The sequence below is a fragment of the Homo sapiens genome, chromosome 2 (assembly GCF_000001405.40).
Source record: "Homo sapiens chromosome 2, GRCh38.p14 Primary Assembly".
In the NCBI taxonomy this organism is placed as follows: domain Eukaryota; kingdom Metazoa; phylum Chordata; class Mammalia; order Primates; family Hominidae; genus Homo; species Homo sapiens.
The window spans coordinates 219,251,341-219,274,508 of NC_000002.12; the positions used below are offsets into that span (position 1 = coordinate 219,251,341).

Here is a 23,168-nt window from a genome sequence, read left to right on the forward strand (position 1 = left end):
GAAAGAACAGTTTAGGTAGGGGAGGGGCCTGAGGGACTCTATCACCTGGCTCCATAAAGCGTAAGATACATCAGCAGTCAGGGCAAATACTGAGGATGCCATAGCAGCACCACACTCGAGACCATGTATAGTTAGAGATGACCTCCTGAAAGGATCTGAAAAAAAATATTCCTGACCATTAGCACAGTCTCAAAAGTTCCCTCCCTCCCAAGACACACTCTCACCAGCTTGCGGATCCGATCCAGCACTGGGTCAATGATCTCCTTGCCAATGGTATAGTGACCACGGGCATAGTTGTTGGCAGCATCCTCTTTCCCAGTGATGAGCTGCTCTGGGTGGAAGAGCTGTCGGTATGGGCCATTTCGGATCTCATCTGGAAGGGCAAAAACCACAAAGCTATGCTCAGCAGGGACCTTCCTCCCCCAGGGTGGTAGCTGTGGCCAGATGCATGGAAGGACTCATCCTCCTGCCAGCCTGAGATACCAGAGTGTGAGAGAAACCCAGACCAGCTGCCCAGGCCAGTCTCAGATCAGCTTGCCTTCTGCAGCTTCAAGTACGGCTAGGAATTTTCAGGGCTAGGAATGCCTGGTCTAAATACCCTCTCTCTCCAGGGAGAAGCTTTGAGTCATGCTCCACCCCCTTCAATTTTGTCCCCACTTCCTCTCACCAATGACCGTAGGCTCCAGATCCACAAAAACTGCCCGGGGTACGTGTTTTCCAGCACCAGTTTCACAGAAGAAGGTGGTGAAGGAGTCGTCCCCTCCACCAATGGTCTTGTCACTGGGCATCTGCCCATCAGGCTGAATCCCATGTTCCAAGCAATAGAGCTCCCAGCAGGCATTGCCCATCTGGACACCTGCCTGCCCCACGTGGACTGAGATGCATTCACGCTGAGGGATAGAGAGAGGGGACACAGCATGAGCCCCACATCCACAAGTCCTCACCTTGCGAGTCTCTCTTCCACCCTATCATCTACCAGCTAGGATGACTCAGTTGGCAAGAGTGGAGGGTTGGGGCTGGGCAGAGGTGAGAAGAGAGTAGCAGCCTGCCCGGGCTCCCAGGTACAGGACTCCCCACCTGGAGGCACCCAGCAATGCAGGCCAACCTCTTAGCCCACTTCTCAGTGGGGAATCTGTCAAGTGAGCACTGTGGCTCCACATGACAAAAGGTTTCCTAGAGGTATGGGTTTACAGCTAGAGGCCCCCCCCCCACTTGATTAATTATTTGCTTTGAGTATGAACAGCTAGAATTCATAGAACCCTTTCCCTCTTTCTTTCCTGTAAGCTGCAGAGGTGTCTCAGCCATCCAATCTGGCATCAACTGACCACACGCCATCAGGATGCCCTCCTCCCTCACCTTTAAATCCCATCTGGCTCTGGGGATCAATCCCATCTGGCTCCTCTCCCCACCTCCACCCCCGCACCCTGGGTGTCTTCACCACTTTCATCTCCCGTGTCAGCCCGCACGGAAATAGCGGCGGTAATGCTTGTAAGCTCAGACAGCAGGGGCCAGCAATAAGGTTTGAGGGTACTGGGGCGCTCACTGCCTTAGGCTCCGTCCCTGTCAGCCCGAAATTAACCCCTAAAGCACTAAAGTCCGGCAGGGCCCGCGCGCTCTTCCCACACCGAAATGGCGGGGTGACGGTTTCCAAATACCCAGAAAGGAAGTGGAACCTGCGGTGAGGCCCCAGAGGTGACCCGCCTTGTCCCGGGCAGGATGGGCGCCATCCTGCAGCCCAGCCCTACATCCGCTCTCCCTCTGGAGTCTTTACAGTTATTTCCCAGCCCAAAGCGGGGATTGGGTTTCGGCCCCCGCTCCTGGGCTATAAATACCACCCCCTACATGCACCTCTCTCCCCTCCCCCCAACCTGGCCTCGGCCCGCGCAGTGCTCAGCGCCAGCTGTCTCTGCCCATCCGCGCACCCGGGCTTCGGCTGGAGAGGGCCAGCTCGCTTCAGGAGGCCGAACCCCGTTCCCACCAACCCTCTCAGCTCAGACGCGGGGTGCTGAGTCACGGGGGGGGGGTGGTTCTGTGGATAGTTGGAATGCATACACAGAGGAAAGGGGGATGCGGCACCAGGTAACCTGACCCCTTCCACCTTCTAGCGCCAAGCACGTGCTCGGTCAGTGCTGAGGACCAGGGACTGGGGATGTAAGAGGGCAGCCAAACCCGTCTTCTTTTGCCCGCGGAAAGGACGGGGCGCGGGCCCGCGTGACTCTCATACAGAGTCGGGACACAAATGCTCGTAAGGCAGGAGCAGAGTGCCAGGAAGGGTTCCTCTCTGTTACTGAAGAGTCGCACTCCACCCCAAGCCCCAACCCCAGCCACCGAAGGTGAACTATACGGCTCGGCCAAAGTCACCAGGAGGGGGTTGGGGAGGGAGGATGCAAAACCCTCGCACCTCCTGGAGACCCGGAACGCCCGGTGGAGGTCCCCGAGCATGCCTGGAAGAAGTGTCCCCCAAAGGAGAGGGGCAATTAGGGGACAGGCGCGACCCCGGCCGGGCCGCACTCACCATGGTGAGTCCGGGCGGTGCGTCTCACGTTGAGTCGGGGTGACAGGTCTCAGTGAGAACTGCGCTAGCTGCAGTGCCGCACCGCCCTTATAGGCGGGGGGGGGGCGGGGCCCGCGTTCCCCGCTCGCCCACTAGAGGCTGGGCGGCCCGCAGGCCACGCCTCCCGGGAGGGTAAGCGGCCCCCCCGAGGGGCGGAGCCTGGCCTGGTACCCTCCCCAAGCTGCGCGGGGGTCCCTCACCTGTCCCGCTGGGATTAAGAGTCGCGATTCGGGCTTTAACCATTCTTTCCTCGTTTTGAGCAGACACGCTGGGCTCCCGAGGGCCTCCGCGGAGATGCAGGGTGCTGTGGCAGGGCGAGTCTCACCTGCACCTGCGTCCTGGAGGCACCGGTCATCCAGGTGTTCTGACTTAGGTCGGGAGCAGGCGAGGCGGTCCTTCCCAAGCGGCCACAGCTGGCCTTCACCCCTGCCCTTCCAGCCCTGCCTCCCAGGAGACTCGGGCCGGCTGTGAGGCTGTGGCGCGTCCCCGGGGAGCCCTTGCCAGCTGCCTGACGCTTCCTGGTCCCCGGCCGGGGCGGCAGCCTTTCGCCGACGCCTGTGGGCGGCCGAGGACCCAGAACTGCACAGCCTGAGCCCCAGATTGCCAATGCCTTAGGCGCTCCCGCAGAGTCGAGCCCCGCAGCCTGTCTGCCGGGGCCGACCCCGGAATCTGCCGCGGCTCGCCGGCCGCCCGCGGGTCAGTGGCGCTGTCATCAGCGCAGTCACTATGATGCCCTCGCTGAGGGCACCTGCCCACTCCCCTGCTGCCAGAACTGCGGGAGCGCTGACCGGGGGACCTCAGGACCTGGATTCTCCTCCAGGCTACCCTGTGTGACCTTGAGCAAGTGACTTAACCTCACTGAGTCCTTGACATTTTCGTGGGTGAAAAGGAGACAGTGATGTCATAGTGGAAACATTGTTGTAAGCTATCAAAATGTCTGTTGCCTCTGAAGAGAAAAGAAGAAAATCGAGATTCTCATATCTTGGATGATTCTGACTCTTGGTCTCTTCTGTCTCTAACCCAAGAGCAGGATCTGCAACCCGCACCTTAATGGTCTCAGCACTCAGCCCCTGGTCTCCGCAGAAGCCCTTCTTTCTACATTTCATTCCGTTCTCTCCACCCCATCTTTTCAAGCTACTTCTGCTTTCTCTTTCTCTCTCTCTCTCTCTCTTTTGAGTCAGTGTCTTGCTGTGTCACCCAGGCTAGAGTGCAGTGGTGCAATCTCAGCTCATTGCAACCTCCATCTCCCGGCTCAAGGCCATCCTTCTACCTCATCCTTCCACCTCAGCCTCCTCAGTAGCTGAGACCACAGGCGTGCACCAACACCATGCCCAGCTTATTTTATTTATTTATCTATTTTTGAGATGGAGTTTCGCTCTTGTTGCCCAGGCTGGAGTGCAATGGCACGATTTCGGCTCACCTCAACACCTGCCTCGCGGGTTCTAGCGATTCTCCTGCCTCAGCCTCTGGAGTAGCTGGGATTACAGGCATGGATGCCTGGATGATTTTTGTATTTTTAGTAGAGACGGGGTTTCACCATGTTGGTCAGGCTGGTCTCCAACTCCTGACCTTAGATGATCCACCTGCTTCAGCCTCCCAAAGTGCTGGGATTACAGGTGTGAGCCCCCACACCCGGCCTTATTTTTTGTATTTTTAGTAGAGACAAGGTCTCGCCATATTGTCCAGATTTGTCTTGAACTCCTGAGCTCAAGCGATCCACCCGCCTCAACCTCCCAAAGTGCTGGGATTACAGGCCTGAGCAACCACCCCAGCCTGCCTTGCATTTTCTAATTGTCTCCCTTCACTGGGGAAAGTCATCTGGCAGTGCCCCAGGTGCTGCTGGTTTGCAGATCTTAAGAAACCTGTCTTCCTGGCTCTACATCACTTGGAAAGGATTCACCCCTCCCTCCCCCATCACCTGACAACACAACATAATACCATGAAAGAACTAGTGATGGCAACTCTCTATCAACAAAATAGGCAAGGCATGGAAAGGAATATAGTGAAATATGACAAGGTCTTTCTTCCCAGTAGACTTGCCATCTGATTGGGAGAACAAGACTCATTCATAAAAAGAAAACTGACAGGGGCGTATAATGAGGCTTCTTTGGGGAATAAGGTCATGGTCCCTACAAAGAAAGGAGCCGTGGTGACTATAGGACACATGGCAGTAGGTTGCAGACCCTCCCTGAACCTCTTTTTCCTTGTGCTCTCCTATCCTAGCAGAATGAACATAGTAAGAGACTTGAGCTATCTTAGGAAAAACTCTAAACCTCTTTGACCTTCAGGTGCAGATTCTTCATTTGTAAAACCGGGATAACAACTTCAGATTGTGAATATCAGATGAATTTAGAGATGTACATATTCACATCAAGGCACTGTGTAAGTAGCTGTGACATTTATTTTAGTGCATATAGCACATCATGCTATAGTTATTTGTGTACATGTCCATCTTAATATTATAGATAGCAAACTATTGGAGGTAAGGACTGTGTCTTATTCATCTTTGTTTCTAGCTCCTAGCATAGTGCTTAGCACACCTGGTAAGCATTTGCTAAGTGTGTGTCAGAAGAATTGTTTCACTTCAGAGATGGTAGGCAGAAGAATGCTACCCCATAAAGATGTCCACATCCTCATCTCCAGGACCTGTGACTGTTACCTTACATGGCAAAATACTTTGAAGATGTTATTAAGGTAAAGATCTTGAGATAGGGAGATGATCCTGGATTATCCCAGGTAGGCCCAGTGTAATTTCAAGGGTCCTTATAAGTGAAAGAAGGAGGCAGGAGGGTCAGAGTCAAAGAAGAGGTCAGACCTGGTGCAGTGCTCATGCCAGTAATCCCAACACTTTAGGAGGCTGAGGTGGGAGGATCACTTGAGGTCGGCAGTTTGAGACCAGCTTGGGCAACATAGTGAGACCCTGTCTCTACCAAAAAATAAAAATTATAAAATAAAGAAGAGGTCAAAAGTAAGTAGAGGTCAGAATGATGTGATTGTTGGCTTTGAAGAGGGATAGGGGCCATGAGTAAAAGAATATGGGCAGCCTCTAGAAGATGGAAAAGTCGAGGAATAGATTCTCCCCTAGAATTTCCAGAAGGAAGGCAACCTGGCCAACACCTTCATTTCAGTTCTGTAAGACCCATTTTGGCTTTTTTTTTTTTTTTTTTTTAAGATGGAGTCTCACTGTTGCCCAGGCTGGAGTACAGTGGCGCGATCTCGGCTCACTGCAAGCTCCACCTCCCGGGTTCAAGCAATTCTCCTGCCTCAGCCTCCCGAGTAGCTGGGACTACAGGCATGTCCCACCACTCCTGGCTAATTTTGTATTTTTAGTAGAGATGGGGTTTCACAGTGTTAGCCAGGATGGTCTCGATCTCCTGACCTCGTGATCCACCCACCTCAGCCTCCCAAAATGCTGGGACTACAGGTGTGAGCCACTGCGCCCAGCCTTTTTTTTTTTTTTTTTTTTTGAGGCAGGATCTTGGCCGGGCATGTAATTCCAGCACTTTGGGAGGCCGAGGCAGGTGGATCACGAGGTCAGAAGTTCAAGACCAGCCTGACCAACATAGTGAAACCCCGTCTCTACCAAAAATACAAAAAATTAGCCAGGTATGGTGGTGTGCACCTGTAATCCCAGCTACTCAGGAGGCTGAGGCAGGAGAATCGTGTGAACCTGGGAGGCAGATGTTGCAGTGAGCCAAGATTGCACCATTGCACTCCAGCCTGGGCAATAGTGAGAGACACTGTCTCAAAAAAAAAAAAAAAAAAAAAAAAAGAGACAGGAAGACAGGATCTTGCTCTCTTGCCCAGGCTGGATTGCAGTGCTGAGGCAGGAGAATCGCTTGAACCAGGGAGGCAGAAGTTGTGGTGAGCCAAGATTGTGCCATTGCACTCCAGCCTGGGCAACAAGAGCGAAACTGTCTCAAAAAAAAAATATATATATACACACACTATATATATATATTTTATAGATATGGGGTCTTGCTGTGTTGCCCAAGCTGGTCTAGAGCTCCTAGCCATAAGCTCTTCTCCTGCCTTGGCCTCCCAAACTGCTGAGATTACAGGCATGAGTCACCTGGCCCATTTTGGGTGTTTTTTTTTTTTTTTTTTTTTTTGAGACAGTCTCTCTGTGTCACCCAGGCTGGAGTGCAGTAGTGTGATCTCAGCTCACAGTGCAATGCAACCTCCACCTACCAGGTTCAAGCGATTCTGCTGCCTCAAAGTCCCGAGTAGCTGGGATTACAGGTGCACAGCATGCCTGGCTAATTTTTGTAGTTTTAGTAGAGATAGGATTTCACCATGTTGGACAGGCTGGTCTCGAACTCCTGACCTCAGGTAATCCACCTGCCTTGGCCTCTCAAAGTGCTAGGATTACAGGCATGTGCCACCATACCTGGCCTCATTTTGTTTGTTTTGTTTTGTTTTGTGTTTGTTTTTGTTTTTGTTTGACACAAGGTCTGGCTCTATCACCCAGGCTGGAGTGCAGTGACGCAATCTTGGCTCGCTGCAACCTCCACCTCCCGGCCTCTAGCCATCCTTCCACCACAGTCTCCTGAGTAGTTGGGACTACAGGTGTGCACCACCACGCCTGGCTAGTTTTTTTTTTTTTTGTATTATTAGTAGAGATGGGGTTTCACCATGTTGCCCAGGCTGGTCTTGAACTCGTGAGCTCAAGTGATCTGCCTGCCTCAGCCTCCCTGAGTGCTGGGATTACAGGCATGATTCACCATGCCCAGCCCACCTGGCTCATTTTGGACTTCTGAACTCCAGCCCTGGCAGATAACAAATGTGTGTTGTTTTAAGCTATGATTTTTATTACAATTTGTTACAGTAACAGTAGGAAAATAATACGACAACAATAGAGGTATGTGGAAGCTACCATCTTAAGATGGGCAACAAGCTCCCTCCAGTTCGCCACAGTCCTCATCACTCTCTGTGTCTCCCTGACACAGAACACAAGTGTCTGTTGTCATTTAACTTCATACGATCAGCCCACGTTACACATTTATGATACCCTGGCCACTGTAGCTAAGAGTTTATAATCCTTGAGCACGCTTTCTAGCTGACAAAATGGAGAAGACATGGGTGCAGGAAGAAATGCCCAAGATGGCCGGGAGCAGTGGCTCCCTCCTGTAAATCCTAGCACTCTGGGAGGCCGAGGCAGGCGGATTGTGAGGTCAGGAGTTTGAGACCAGCCTGACCAACATGGTGAAACCTCGTCTCTACTAAAAATAATAAATAAATAAATAAATAAATAAATAAATAAATAAATAAATAAATTATCCGGGCATGGTGGCAGGCACCTGAAATCCCAGCTACTCAGGAGCTGAGGCAGGAGAATCGCTTGAACCTTGGCGGCAGAGGTTGTAGTGAGCCGAGAATGCGCCACTGCACTCCAGCCTGGGCAATAACAGCAAGACTCTGTCTAAAAAAAAAAAAAAAAAAAAAAGAAATGCCCAAGGCATGTTAGTGAAATACAGATTCTGCTTCTGATTGTGTGTGTGTGTGTTTGTGTGTGTGTGTATGTCCTCAGGATGTATACAGATCTCCAGAATTAGGGCCATAAACTCTGGGTGAGTATGCAGGTAATGGTCCATTTTACCAGATCAAAAACTTTTAGACATTCACAGACATGTACAGAATCTAGAAAATGCTACCAGATGTTGAATTACTTTTCTAATTCACTCTCCCGTTGAATTAACTTTTCAGTCCATCTACCTATATGTGTACTCTCCCTCTGGGTCTCTCTCCCTCTTCTCCTTTCCCATTATCATCTCCATCTTTTCTGACCCCTTCCCAGGGTCTCACCTTTATCTTGGAGCAGGGCAGCAAGGTACTCAAAGTTTAAAATGTTTGCACTGACTCCATCTGGGAGAGATAGAGCCACAGCCTTAGTGATGTGCATCCTTCAGTTTTTCCAGACTAGAGCATCTCCCAGCCATCCTCCTTCTCACAGCACTGCCTTTACAAATGGGGTAGCCCTACTCATCACATATCCATGAATTCACCCCTCAATACTCTCCCTGCAGACTTGACTCACATGCTCCGCTGAGATGCTTTTGCCAAGGTCTCTAGTGGCCTGCCTCTTGCCAAATCCAAAGGCCACACATCTCCATCTTCATCTTTCTTAGCCGCTCACAGCAGCATTTCTCATGGTCGATTCTTCTTTCCTTCTTGAAATTCTTTTTTGTTGGTTTTGATGACAGCACCGGCTTCTAGCTTTTGTCCTGGCCCCTCCTTCTTGGTGGCCTCTGATAGCTTAATTTTAAATGATGTTCCCCATAGCCCAGTCTCAGGTTCTCTTATTTCCTTCATTTATTTTTCTCCCTGAAGGAGCAATTGTTGAAGCTTGGTGATGAATATATGAGGTTTTATTATATTATCTCTATTTTTAGGTATATTTTTAATAATATTCATCATAAAAAGTTATTGTAACATTTTTGGAATTATTTAAAGAGAATTATTAAAAAATAATTTTGGAATTATTTTAAAACTAGAGTATATACATTCCCATACAATAGTGAAGGAATAGGATAAAAAGAAATGAATGTCATATATATGCTGACGACTCAAATTTATATCTCCATTTCTGACCTCTCCTCTGAACTTCAGATTCATATGACTAATTGCTTTCTTGACATCTCCACTTGAAAGCCCATGAGACATCTCAAACATAACACAGTCACCATGGAACTGTTTTCTACCCTCACCCCACTCCCTGCCAAACCTGCTTCTGTTCTAGGCTTCCCAGTCTGAGTGATCATCTTCCTTCCAAGTGCTTGAGTTAAAATCTTAGGATTGGCCGGGCACGGTGGCTCACGCCTGTAATCCCAGCACTTTGGAAGGCCAAGGTGGCGGATCACCTGAGGTCAGGAGTTTGAGACCAGCCTGACCAACATGGTGAAACGCCGTCTCTACTAAAAATACAAAAATTAGCTGGGCTTGGTGGCGGGCACCTGTAATCCCAGCTGCTCGGGAGGCTGAGGCAGAAGAATCATTTGAAGGAGGCGAAGGTTGCAGTGAGCCAAGATCGCACCATCGCACTCCAGCCTGGGGGACAAGAGCGAGACTTCATCTAAAAAAATAAATAAATAAATAAATAAATAAAATCTTTATTTTAGGATCACTTTCCTCTCTCTCTCTCTCTCTCCTCTCCCTCTTTTAAGTTAGAATTTTTTGGCTGCAAATAATGGAAAACCTAACTTATCAATGGCTTGAACAATGAGGGCATGTATTATCCCACAAGAAATCTGAGTATAGGGTCTTTCCAGGGTTGATTCAGTCATGTCACCAATAACTCCAGTGTTTCTAGCTTTCTGCGCTGTCATCCTCAAAGAGCGGGTGACATCTTCCCTCAGGAACACAAGATACAGCAGCTCTAAGTATCATGTCCTTATATGACTCTGTCTTAAGGCAGGAAATGGGGGGCTTCCTCCCACATCTGTTTTTATCAGGAGAAAAACCTTTCCTTGAAGCGCCCTAGCAGACTTCCCCCTTCTATCTCACTAGCTTTTGCCTAAACCAGTCACTGGAGGGAGGGAGTTAAATGGCCATGGATGGTTTGGACTAACCTGTACACACCCCTAGGTCTGGGGGAAAGCTGTCTTCCTCAAGCAAGTGCAAGGGTGAATACTCAAATAAAATCAGGACCTTGCTAGTGAAGAATTGGGCAGGGGCAGGCAAGGCTGTTGAGAAGCTCTGCCACCACCTACACTAGTATGTCCTTCACTTTACTGCCAACCCAGCTACTTCTCACCACCCCCTACTACCATCCCGTTATTCCTAGATGCCTTCAGCAGCCTCTGAACCAGCTTCCTGCCTCTAGGCTTGAAACCCTAATGCAGTCTCCACACAGCAGCTGCAGTCATCTCTCTGAAACACAAGCTAGGCAATGACGCTTGTTTCAAACCCTCCTGTTACACTTATATAAAAGCCATTCTCCTTCCAAGGCCCCTCCACCTCTATGATCTCATCTTGTAGAGCTCTCTCCTTTCCTCACTCTGGGTTTTTGGACACACTGGGCTAGTTCCTACCTATGATTGTTTGCACTTATTATTCTGTCTGTCTGGAGAACTGGTTTCCAGATCTTGCCTCGCTGACTCCTCACCATTCAGCCCTCAGTTCAAGTGTCACCTTCTGGCCGGGTGTAGTGGCTCACGCCTGTAATCCCAGCACTTTGTGAGGCCGAGGCGGGCGGATCATGAGGTCAGGAGATCGAGACCATCCTGGTTAACATGGTGAAACCCCATCTCTACTAAAAATACAAAAAATTAGCCTGGCGTGGTGGTGGGCGCCTGTAGTCCCAGCAACTCGGGAGGCTGAAGCAGGAGAATGGCGTGAACCCAGGAGGCAGAGCTTGCAGTGAGCTGAGATCGTGCCACTGCACTCCATCCAGCCTGGGCGACAGAGCGAGACTCGAGACTCTGTCTCAAAAACAAAACAAAACAAAACAAAACAAATATCACCTTCTTATAGAGTGGCTTCTGTTCAGTCTAAAATAGCAGCCCCTGCATATCTTTCTGTTCCATTATCCAGCCTTGTTTTCTTCACATGCTTATTGCTATCTGGAATGTTCTTGTTTGTTTATTGTCTGTCTTCCCCATGAAAATGAAAGCTCCATTTTATTTCTTTTTGAGACAGGGTCTTACTGTGTCACCCAGGCTGGAGTGCAAGTGGCATGATCACGGCTCACTGCAACCTTGACCTCCTGCGCTCAAGTGAGCCTCCCTCCTCAGCCTCCCAAGTAGCTGGGGCCACAGGCATGTGCCACCACACCCAGCTAATTAAAAAAAAATTTTTTTTTTTGTGGAGGCAGAGTCGCATTATGTTGCCCAGGCTAGAATGTAAGCTTCTTAAGAGCATAAACTTGCCAGGCACAGTGGCTCACACATGTAATCCCAGAACTTTGGGAGGCCAAGGTGGGCAGATCACCTGAGGTCAGGAGTTCGAGACCAGCCTGACCAACATGATGAAACCCCGTCTCTACTAAAAATACAAAAATTAGCCAGGCATGGTGGCATGCGCCTGTAATCCCAGCTACCTGGGAGGCTGAGACAGGAGAATTGCTTGAACCCGGGAGGCGGAGGTCGCAGTGAGCCGAGATAGCACCACTGCACCCCAGCCTGGGCAACAAGAGCAAAACTCCATTCCCCACCCCCCAAAAAAGCATAAACTTTTGTGTTTATCACTGTATCCCTGGCACCTGAAATGGTGCTTGGCATACAGCAAGCACTCAATATTTGTTGAAGAAATTAAGAGTATTCATGGCCTCTTATGTTTTAATCTAGATGCATTAAAATGCTTTAAAAATCTCAGTCTTGGCCGGGCACAGTGCCTCACACCTATAATCCCAACACTTTGGGAGGCCAAGGCAGATGGATCATCTGAGGTCAGGAGTTTGAAACCAGCCTGGCGAACATGGTGAAACACTGTCTCTACTAAAAACACAAAAATTAGCGGGGTGTGTTGGTGCATGCCTGTAGTCCTAGGTACTCGGGAGGCTGAGGCAGGAGAATTGCCTGAACCCAGGAGGAGGAGGTTACAGTGAGCCAAGATCACAAAACTCAGTCTTTTCATTCTGCTTTACATAAGACAGCTGACTGCCATTAGGATAGTTTTCTTTTTGGAGTTGGTGATACCTAGGTTGACTCTGAGAGTCCAACTCCCAAGGCCAGTTGGGAGAAGTTTCAGTGCTACACAAGAGAGTTTTGAGCCCAGTGGGCCCTCTGGGCCCCATATCACTCCATCTGGACAATAATTCCTGAGGTCCATGGTTTCATGGGCCAACCCAGTAGAAGGCTGAGCTTTCTTATCTTTGATATGTTAAGTGGCTGGGTCTCTTCTTTGGGCCTCTTTGTTCCAGGTGGGAGACAGAAGAGTTCTAACCTTCAGTCTGTAGCCAAAGCCAGAGTTAACCAACTTGAGATCATTCCCTAGCTTACTGGGTTGACAGGGTCTCTGAAAAAGTCCCCTGTTTCAACTGCACTATGTAACACAGTGGCTGAAATTTCACATTAGCAACTACTTCCTGGATAGGGTTGCTAAATAAAATACTTTTATTTGCTAAATCTGGCAGACCTAGTCCTGGTTTTGGCTGCTATCTGGAAGAGGGACTGAACTGTACAACAGTCCCCCCTTACTTACAAAGATATGTTGTAGGGCCCCCAGCGGATGCCTGAAATGGCGGATAGTACTGAACCTTATGTACTGTTTTTTCCTATACATGCATACATATGACCAAGTTTAATTCATAAATTAGGCACAGTAAGAGGTTAAGAACAACAATAGGCCAGGTGCAGTGGCTCATGCCTGTAATCCCAGAACTTTGGGAAGTCAAGGCAGGCAGATCACTTGAGGTCAGGAGTTCGAGACCAGCTTGGCCAACATGGTGAAACACCATCTCTAATAAAAATACAAAAATTAGCCAGGCGTGGTGGCATGTGCCTGTAATCCAAGCTACTCAGGAGGCTGAGGTGGGAGAATTGCTTGAACCCAAGAGGCAGAGGTTGCAGTGAGCTGAGATCATGCCACTGCACTCCAGCCTGGGTGACAGAGTGAGGCCCTGTCTCAAAAAAAAAAAAAAAAAGAACAATAATGATATAGAGAAATAAAGCAATGATAGTAATATGCCAGCATCACTGCTCTTGAGCGGTGGGGCTGTTATGAGGTAGAATAAGGGTTACATGAGCAGAAGCATCGCCACAGTCGATCTGATAAGGGATCCGGCTACTCAGTGGCTAATGGGTAGGTAGTGTCAACAGTGTGGATACGCTGCACACAGGGATGTTCTAGACATGATGGAGTAGGATGGCACTAGATTTCATCACACTACTCAGAATGGCGTGCAGTTTAAAACGTATACATTGTGTTTTTCTGGAACCTTCTCTTTAATATTTTCAGACTGTGGTTGGCTGCAGGCAACTGAAACTGCAGAAAGTGGCTAATGGGGGGCTACTGTGGTGTGATTTCCAGGCAACATGAGGGCCCATTTGAGGCTAGTGGCCATGCGTTCGAAACATCAGTCAGCATGGTTCTGGATTTTTCTATGGCCACTGTTTAGCTGGGTGAGTGCAGACACAGAGCTGGGGACAAAACAAATTTAACCAGGGTTCTGGTTTAGTCAAACAAGGATGTTGAAGCTAGTGGGAGGCAAGACAGTTGAGGGGTACAAAAGGGAGTGACCCTGGCTGGCCATGGAACTGAAGACTGGGAGGAAGGAGATAAAGACCGAGGAGGGGCTGCTGTGCACACTCTGCCATGTGGAAAGAGGGGAAGCAGAGCCCGAGTCCCAGATAAATCTTAATTCCAGCATTAATTAATCCCCATGTGACCTCAGGCAGGACACTAGGGATTTCAATTTCCTTTCCTTCATCCTGGGAAAGGGAGGCCCTGCCTTGCCTACCTTACAGAGTTGTTGAGGGATTCAAAGGAGGTACGGAGAGAAGGTGCCTTAAGCATAAAGCAGACTAGGCGCAGGGGCTCATGCCTGTAATCCCAGCACTTTGGGAGGCTGAGGCAGGTGGATCATCTGAGGCCAGGAGTTTGAGACCAGCCTGGCCAACATGGTGAAACCGTGTCTCTACTAAAAATATAAAAATTAGCCAGGCCTGGTGGCAGGTGTCTGTAATCCCAGCTACTCAGGAGGCTGAGGCAGGAGAATCGCTCGAACCCCGGAGGTGGAGGTTGCAGTGAGCTGAGATTGCACCACTGCACTCCAGCCTGGGCAACAGAGCAAGACTCCTTCTCAAAAGAAAAAAAAAAAGATGCATAAAGCAGGATACAAATGCTAGAGACTAGCCTTTTTATTTCAGAATTTTGCCTAAGACTATCGGGAGACTCCTTTTCTGGGGACATAAGGCCAGGCTAGAGCAGCAGTGACTTGCCATGGCCTAGGAAGAGACATTTAGGAAGTGCCTTGAGGCCCTGCTCATCCTCTTGCTTTGCCCTTGGAGAGCAACAGCTGTTTTGGACTAAGCACTTAAGAAAGGTTACCTTGTTAGTACCTCGTAATACTACCTCTCCCCATTCTCCAGAGAGAGAAAAAAAAAGAAGTTTTAATTGCTAGTAGCTATTAGAGGTGGGATTAAAACCAAGCTCTAGGTCGCTTGTTCTATGATATTCTGAGTTTCCAGGCAGGATGTCCTGAGGCTTGATCTCTTGGCCGAGGACTCATTATTTCTGGATCATTGCAGAGATCTTCTTAGTCCCACCCACAGTCGACTTACAGCCCTCAGCAACCCTAGGGCAGGGGAGTGCAGGGGTTTGATGGGTGGGGGCGGTGCTGGAGCTCAGGGTCTTGATTTCTAAATCATCTTCCACCTGTGAAGTGCAGGCTGTGCCACCAGGAAATGGGATTGCGTGACTGACAACAGATACCATGTACCCAGAGGCCTGGATACCTGTGTGGAGTTACTAGCCCTGGCCCCTCCTCTGCCCACCTCAGCTGGCTCCCCTGTTTGGGTGCAGGCCCAGAGCTTGCCTCGTACTCTGTGACCAAGTCAACAGGCCCTGCCCTCCCAGGCCGTTTCTAACAACATCCACCTGCTGAGAGCCACCCAGCGAGTATAAGGAGGAGGCTGGCTGGCCGCTGCAGGCCTCTCACAGATCTATCCCTGCTCACTATCCTGCAGCAGACAGAGAGACAAGACCCCAGCCAGCCCCTGTCCAGGCAGCATGGTGAGTAGAAGGGGCCTTGGGGGGACTGAGCATGCAAGTGAGGGTCCCAGTGGGCCCAAGATATCTGGCGTGAAGGTACCTTGGGAGTCCACATGGTGATGGGGCTACAGTATGTGGCGAGGTGGGGAGAGGGAAAGAGACTTCCAGATGTGGCTGTGGCCCCCAAATGTGCAGGTGTGGGGGGCATCACAGGGGGTAGGGAAGGAAAGTTTAATGGTAACCAGGTTGTGGGGCTGAGCCTAGGCTGAGAAGCAGGGCTGCTGAGGGGGTCTGAATTTAGGTGTGGGGAGTGTGGGGGAAGCAGGACTTGAGCAGAAAGTGTAGGCGATTTCCTCTGCTGGCTGAGGATCTCCAGACCCTGGGCCTTGCCACAGGTTCACTGTTGGGCTCTGATCCCACCTTCCCACCATGGGGACACATCCTCCATGGAAGCTTCTCCCCTCTGGTTCCTCCCTCCACCCTGCCCATCTGCTGTGCCTTTGTCTGACCTCTCATGTCAGTTACAGATCAGTGGGGAGAAGAAGGAGGAGGGAAAAGGGGGTGCTCCCATCTGTCAAGAGCTGGCTGTGCCTGGGGCTTATTTGATATCTTTTACCCACCTCCCTACCAGGCAGGATAGAAGAACAGTTAAGAGCATGGTTGGTGCCAGGCCATCCCTGCTCTAAATATTCTTGGTTTTGCTCATGGCCTTGAGCAAGCTACTTGACTTCTCTGAGGGTCGGTTTCCTCATCTATAAATTGGGGGTAATAAAACTACCTACCTAAGGTGAATGTGGTAAAGATTAAATGAGATAATGTGTATAAAGTGCCACCTTCACCTGGCACCTTATTAGTGCTTAATAAGCAGAACTAAGCAATGTAACAACACAGGCCGCCGGCTATGAGATTCTTCTCTTTCTACAGTCATGAAAAAGGTGCTAGGGAAGCTGAGGTGAAATGACTTGTATTGGATCACAGAGAGATGGGGGTTTGAGGCCAGGTCTGTGTGACTCCAGAGGCTGAGTTCTTTTTTTTGTTTTTTTTTTTTTGAGACGGAGTCTCATTCTGGAGTGCAGTGGCGCAATCTCGGCTCACTGCAACCTCTGCCTCCCGGGTTCAAGCGATTCTCCTGCCTCAGCCACCCAAGTAGCTGGGACTACAGGCGCTTGCCACCACATCTGGCTAATTTTTGTATTTTGAGTAGAGACAAGGTTTCACTATGTTGGCCAGGATGGTCTCAATCGCCTGACCTTGTGATCTGCCCACCTCGGCCTCCTAAAGTGTTGGGATTACAGGCGTGAGCCACTGCACCCGGCCAGGGGCTGAGTTCTTTGCCCCAAAACTGCTGCCTCCAGTGTGAGACATCATTCCCAGAGGGGCCAGAGACACCTTGCATGGGCTAGTAGTTCTGGGGGCCAGGACGATGTCTGGGTCTGTGGACAGAACTGGCTGGTCAGGCTCAGAGGTGCAGCACCAGGCAGGTGATTGGTGAGCCAAGGCAGCCCCAGGATTGGACCTGGGATTTCTCCTGTCCTTGAGGTCTCAGCTCAACTCATTATCTTTTTTTTTTTTTTTTTTTTTGAGATGGAGTCTCACTCTGTTGCCCTGGCTGGAGTGCAGTGATGCAATCTCGGCTCACTGCAACCTCCACCTTCTGGGTTCAAGCAATTCTCCTGCCTCAGCCTCCCGAGTAGCTGGGATTATAAGCATACACCATTTTTGTATTTTTAGTGGAGAGGGGGTTTCACCATGTTGGTCAGGATGGTCTCGAGCTCCTGACCTCAAGTGATCCACCTGCCTTGGCCTCCCAAAGTGCTGGGATTACAGGCTTGAGCCACTGCGCCCAGCCTCAATTCATTACCTTCTCTTACTATGACATCAGGGATTGAGGGTGGGAAATTGGAAGGGGAACCCAACATGCATGGCACACCCTAGTGTGTGTTAGGCAGTGGGCCAGGCACTTTGCATGCATTCTTTCATTTAATTCTCATAGTTTTTCTAGGAGGGGCTCTTATTATTGTCTACATTTCAAAAGGAGAACATTGACAAAGAGGTTAAGATTTTTGCTCAAGACAAGTAGAGAAGTAATTGGGCTGGAATACAGATTATTTATGGATTAATCTCAGTCATCTAAAAATCATGAAAAGTCAGGCCTTTGTGTTATATAAAAATAGTCAATGAAGTGTTACATTTTTGGAGAAGTCATCCTCATTAAACAATTAAGAAATATTTCAGGAATGCAAAAAGGTATAAATAATAACATGATAGGCTGGGCGGCGGTGGCTCATGCCTGTAATCCCAGTACTTTGGGAAGCCAAGGCAGGTAGACTGCTTGACCCCAGGAGTTTAAGACCCACTTGGGAAAGATGGCGAGACCTGTCTCTACAAAAAAATTTAAAACTTAGCCAGGCATGGTGGTGCATGCCTGTAGTCCCAGCTACTCGGGAGGCTGAGACAGGAGGATCCCTTGAGCCCAGGAGTCCAAGACTGCTGTAGTTAACTATGATCACATCACTGTACTCTAGCCTGGGTGACAAAGTGAGATTCTGTCTCAAGAAAAAAAGAAAAGAATAATGTGATGAACAGCAGCTATCAAGCTTGAGAAATAGAATCTGTCTCCAATTGCATCTATCTGCTTCCCCTGCCAGAGAGCACCATTATTCCAAATTTGGAGTTAATGTCTCCTGTGCTTTATCTTTGTACTATTTTCCCTTGCTTCCCTCACCAATGGCTCCTAATTTCTTTCTGGACACTGGTGGGTAGATTATCTTGCACTTCTAGATTCATTCGATTCCTTCAATGTTGCTCATTGAGACAGGCACTGAGCAAGAGTCTATAATCTCAGGACTGCCCGCATCTTCTGCTTCCCCCAATGATTTTGGCCCAGCCCCTACAGCCGATGCCTGTTGCTCCTCAGTGCCACCAGTAAATGCTTAGATGCAGGAGGCGAGGCAAGCAGAGTAGAGTCCAGGAACCTTGGCCCTCAGCCAAAGAGCCACTCAAGGAAGGCAGGCAGGAACCATGTCCAGGCATGATATGTTTCCCTCTGTGAAGGCCGTTCTCTGCCCTTTGCCCACTCAGTGTGAGTGCATCTCAGTCCACGTGGGGCAGGCCGGTGTGCAGTTGGCAATGCCTGCTGGGAGCTCTACTGCCTGGAACATAGGATTCAGTCTGATGGGCAGATGCCCAGTGACAAGACCATCAGGGGAGGGGGATGACTCCTTCAACACCTTTTTTAGTGAAACTGGGGCTGGGAAACATGTGCCCCAGGCGGTGTTTGTGGATCTGGAGCCCGCTGTGATGATCAGTCCCAGCCACAACCTTGTCCCTGGGTACCACAGCAAGTCCTACTCCATAACTGCAGAGCATGGTGTCTGTGGTATAGCTTCCCAGGTGCTGCAGCCAATTAGAACTCCACATGTACAGAATCACTGTTACTCAGCTCCTGAGTCTGTAGGCCACTCCACATCCCTTTCCTTATTGAAAAACACATCCAAGCAGCACAAACACATCCAAGCAGGTAATAGCAGCAGCCTGAATGCAGAACCTGGGACCCGGTGACCCCACTCCCTTCAGGTCCCCTGGGGCTCCAGCAGCTGGATTGCAAAGGGAGGTGGGGCCCAAAACTCTGCCCACTGCAGATGAACTTTGAACAGGCACATACCGCCAGATCTTCCATCCAGAGCAGCTCATCACAGGCAAGGAAGATGCTGCCAATAACTATGCCTGGGGCCACTACACCATTGGGAAGGAGTTCATCGACCTGCTACTGGACCGGATTCGGAAGCTGGTGAGGAAAGGACTGAGGGCTGGGGCAGGGGGAATGAATCTGGATTCCTGTTGTGAGGTAGTCTGGACACCAGATTGGGGAAGGACAGCTTCAGCCTCTGGGAGAAACACACAGGATCAGGACCAATGAGGAGAGGCCCTGCACTCTGATCGGGGGGCCAACTGTAGGTTCCAGCCTGGAGCTGGTGTCCCCTGTATCTCCGAAGTGGCTGGCCTGATGCTAGGCAGGGTGTCCATTAAGGCAAACATGTTGATGGGCTGCCTGGCCAAGCTGTGGGGTTCCATAAGCGTTCCCAGAATACCACCTTGTGTTACAAGGATGTGGGCAGAAGTCCCTGTGAAAGGCAGGGATTCAAAGAATGTCAGCCCAAAGCCTCTGTGATTGGCTTTGGCTTCTACGAAGGATGGGGATGAGGTTCCTGGATTGTTGTTCTTAGTAGAGAAACCCTCTAGAAACATCCAAAGTTAAATCAGCGGGGCATGGGTGTGATGGTGGGTGGAGTTGGCAAGTTATGACGACAAGATGAGGGAGCCCTGGAGTCCTGTGCACTGGTCAGCCTAGACAGCCAACTCCACCCACCATCATACCCCTCTTTTCCAGCATACAACAGAGCTCTGTGTTAAGGGCCTCAGGAGATTTCAGAGGAAGAGGGACAGGGAGGAGAAAGGGTGGGCCCTGGACCCACTCTATGAGGATCTCTTTTGTGCTCTTGGAAAAGTCTTCCAAGGAGTTCATGAAACTTTTGGGAATTTAAAACAGCACAAGTTGGTTCTTTCCTGTCCATCAGCTGTGCTCCATGCCCCACATTTCCCCTCCCCTTCCCTGTCTAGGCTGACCAGTGCACAGGACTTCAGGGCTTCCTGGTGTTCCACAGCCTTGGTCGGGGCACTGGCTCTGACGTCACCTCATTCCTGATGGAGTGGCTTTCTGTTAACTATGGCAAGAAATCCAAGCTGGGATTCTCCATCTACCCAGCCCCCCAGGTGTCTACAGCCATGGTCCAGCCCTACAACTCTATCCTGACCACCCACACCACCCTGGAGCACTCAGACTGTGCCTTCATGGTGGACAACAAAGCAATCTATGACATCTGCCACTGCAACCTAGACATCGAGCGCCCAACCTACACCAACCTCAATCGCCTCATTAGCCAAATTGTCTCCTCCATCACAGCTTCTCTGCGCTTTGACGGGGCCCTCAATGTGGACCTGACAGAGTTCCAGACCAACCTGGTGTCCTACCTCACATCCACTTCCCCCTGGCCACCTATGCACCAGTCATCTCTGCAGAAAAGGTATACCACGAGCAGCTGTTGGTGGCAGAGATTACCAATGCCTGCTTTGAGCCTGCCAACCAGATGGTGAAGTGTGATCCCCGGCACGGCAAGTACATGGCCTGCTGCCTGCTATACCATGGAGATGTGGTGCCCAAGGATGTCAACGCTGCCATTGCTGCCATCAAGACCAAGTGCAGCATTCAGTTTGTGGACTGGTGCCCCACAGGCTTTAAGGTTGATATCAATCACCAGCCTCCCACTGTGGTGCCTGGGAGTGACCTGGTAAAGTGCAACGTGCCATGTGCATGCTGAGCAACATGACAGCCATCACTATGGCCTGGGCCCGCCTGGACCACAAGTTTGACCTGATGTATGCCAAGAGGGCGTTTGGGCACTGATATGTGGGTGAGGGCATGGAGGAGGGTGAGTTCTCCAAGGCCCATGAGGATATGACTGCCCTGGAGAAGGATTACAAGGAGGTGGGCATGGATAGTGTGGAGTGGGGGGAAGAAAAGATAGGGGGGATGAATACTAGGGGAATACTGTGTGTCTGTCCTACATAAAGTGCTGTGGCCTTATTGTCTCACGAATGTCTTTTTCTCTGGGGGAAAACCATGGGGGGAGGGCTTCTTCTCCATGAGAGATAGGAACGCTGGTGTCTTAGCCTCTATTCCCCAGAAAGCAGATCTGATTTTAGATTTCATTATAGAGTGCAATTACAGCAAATAGAATGGGGGCCAAGGGAAGTAAGGCACAGAAGGAGGAAAAATTCACCCTAGAGAAAATGCAGCTGAATAAATGGCATCTCAGAACCATCCTTGGGTGAGTGGGCAGGTGAGGGCTGGGGGTGGGGTTTATGCACTGGCTCTATTCTTCCACTAGTTAAACTTTTGCCCCATCAAGCATTAATTCCCCTGCACTGGTGGATTGCACACACTTGGGCTGTAGAGTCATCAGGAAACCCTGGGCGAGGAGGAGGTGCTATTAAGTTGCACATATGTGAAGTCAGTGGAACCCCACATGGAGCTGCAACAAGAGCCCGGTGAGGCCAGGAGGATCCGAAGTGATCCTTAAAGTAATCTAGTGCCCACTAGCCCATCCTGCGATCTGGAGGCTTGTCTTCTCCAGGCAGGAGGTTGGGGTAATAGAGAGCCCTGACACTGGAGTTGGTTGAGGCAGAAGAGTGGTGCAGTGGCTGCCACACAGGGAGAATGGCTTGTAAGGGTAGGAGGCTTACCTCCCAGTAATCTCTGTCAACACTCACCACTTTTTTTTTTTTTTTTTTGATGGAGTTTTGCTCTTGTTGTCCAGGCTGGAGTGCAATGGCACGATCTCGGCTCACTGCAACCCCCGCCTCCTGGGTTCAAGCTATTCTCCTGCCTCAGCCTCCCAAGTAGCTGAGATTACAGGCATGCACCACCAGGCCTGGCTAATTTTATGTTTTTAGTCGAGACAGGGTTTCACCATGTTGGTCAGGCTGGTCTCCAACTCCTGACCTTGGGTGATCCACCAGCCTCAGCCTCCCAAAGTGCTGGGATTACAGGGGTGAGTTACCATGCCCAGCCCTGACACTCACCACTTTTTGATAAAGACAGTTGACCTTTTAACAGTCCTGTGGCATCATGCACACACAGCTTCCCACCCCCACTTCCAAACAAATGGCAAATTTTAAATCCTGAGACTGAGTGAGGCAGGAGAATCGCTTGAGACCAGGAGGCAGAATTTGCAGTGAGCTGAGATAGTGCCACTGTACTCCAGCCTAGGTGACAGAGCCAGACTCCATCTCAAAAAAATAAACATAAATAAATAAAAAAATACAATACAATAATATTTTTGTAAGGACAGGATCTCACCATGTTGCCCTGGCTGGTCTCGAACTCCTGGGCTCAAGTAATTCTCCCACCTTGGCCTCCCAAAGTGTTGAGATTACAAGCATGAGCCACCATGCCTTGCTAAAAGGGCTGACTTTTAAATCTCCATATATTTGACTTATGCGTCTTTCCATCAACTGGTTTCAAACTTGGGAAGGGAAAAGGTGTTACTCTGGGAGCCCTTCACACCCCAAGAAATAGCCATCATTTAGTGAGCATCTACTATGTGCTAGGTCCTGTATCCATAAGATCTTGTTTAATTCTGAGGTTAATACAGTTATTACACCCACTGGAACAGAAGCTCTCAGACAGGCCTTGGACTGTTTTTCATTGTTCTACTCTCAACACCCCAGTGTTGCCCGGCATATTAGATGATTAACACTTGTTGGATGAACTTGTTCAATGAACACCTATTTTATAGATGTGGAGACTGAGACTCAAAGACTCGCCCAAGGTGGTAAATGGAGGAGTTGGGATTCAAACCCAGGTTAGCCTGCACCAAATCATATGTTGCTCCCCCACCTTTTTCTTAGGTGCCCTCACTTCCTGCTCACAGTGGTTCCAGGCAGCCCTCCAGACACCACCTCTTCTCAGCCTGCCAGGTCCCGAGTGCCCAGACAGTGACTCAGGTGCCTCAGGGGCAGGGAGTGGGTGACGCTTCACAATGCCCTGCCCAGGCTCTGGGAAGGAGGGCATCGATGTAGAGGGGAGAGTCCCAGCTTCTGGGTCTGAATGGGGGTAGAGGCTTCTTTGGGGCCAGATTTTGGGGCTATCAGTGCCCTTTGGAAAACATCCCCCAACATCTCCTAGGAGGTGGTGAGGGCCTGGGAGAGGCCAGGATTGGGGGTGGGGAGGGAGGTGAGCTCTTCACCTGCCAAGACGGCTAGGGATCGAGAGAGGCAGCTCGTCTCCCTTCCTGTCTGCTGAACCAGCCAGCCCACCCTGGGCAGCTATATAGCCATCTCCCTGAGGTCTTCCTGCTAGTAATACTCTGCTGGCAGGCCCTGGCAGGCCTGGGTTGGACTG

The 23,168-nt window shown here is 50.2% G+C and overlaps 2 protein-coding genes across 4 annotated transcripts in view, besides 4 other annotated features; one reads left to right on the plus strand and one right to left on the minus strand.

The window, feature by feature from the left end:
• Positions 1-3,400, minus strand: part of TUBA4A (tubulin alpha 4a) — a 5,031-nt gene extending 1,631 nt beyond the window's left edge. Inside the window, exons 1-3 of one of the 3 annotated variants that reach the window (XM_047445674.1) lie at positions 2,880-3,400; positions 668-890; positions 225-373 (exon numbers count right to left, since the gene is read on the minus strand). In XM_047445674.1, the coding sequence (XP_047301630.1) occupies positions 225-373; positions 668-890; positions 2,880-2,909 (402 nt within the window). In that variant the 5' untranslated portion in view covers positions 2,910-3,400. Of the gene's footprint in view, positions 1-224; positions 374-667; positions 891-2,515; positions 2,579-2,754 lie in introns of those variants that run through there. The other 2 variants (NM_001278552.2, NM_006000.3) reach the window with 2 other exon arrangements.
• Positions 1,903-20,857, plus strand: TUBA4B (tubulin alpha 4b). Its single transcript, NM_001355221.1, has 4 exons — positions 1,903-2,079; positions 15,181-15,226; positions 18,862-18,995; positions 19,826-20,857. The coding sequence occupies exons 1-4, from the start codon at positions 2,068-2,070 to the stop codon at positions 20,357-20,359; spliced, it is 726 nt and encodes a 241-aa protein (NP_001342150.1). The 5' UTR covers positions 1,903-2,067; the 3' UTR covers positions 20,360-20,857.
• Positions 1,961-2,040: an enhancer, noted in NCBI's record as "active region_17146". NCBI's record gives its function as "activates an Ori minimal core promoter by ATAC-STARR-seq in GM12878 lymphoblastoid cells {active_cell/tissue: GM12878}" and the evidence as "EXISTENCE:reporter gene assay evidence [ECO:0000049][PMID:35858748]".
• Positions 2,071-2,130: an enhancer, noted in NCBI's record as "active region_17147". NCBI's record gives its function as "activates an Ori minimal core promoter by ATAC-STARR-seq in GM12878 lymphoblastoid cells {active_cell/tissue: GM12878}" and the evidence as "EXISTENCE:reporter gene assay evidence [ECO:0000049][PMID:35858748]".
• Positions 2,541-2,910: a silencer, noted in NCBI's record as "silent region_12351". NCBI's record gives its function as "represses an Ori minimal core promoter by ATAC-STARR-seq in GM12878 lymphoblastoid cells {active_cell/tissue: GM12878}" and the evidence as "EXISTENCE:reporter gene assay evidence [ECO:0000049][PMID:35858748]".
• Positions 3,561-3,630: an enhancer, noted in NCBI's record as "active region_17148". NCBI's record gives its function as "activates an Ori minimal core promoter by ATAC-STARR-seq in GM12878 lymphoblastoid cells {active_cell/tissue: GM12878}" and the evidence as "EXISTENCE:reporter gene assay evidence [ECO:0000049][PMID:35858748]".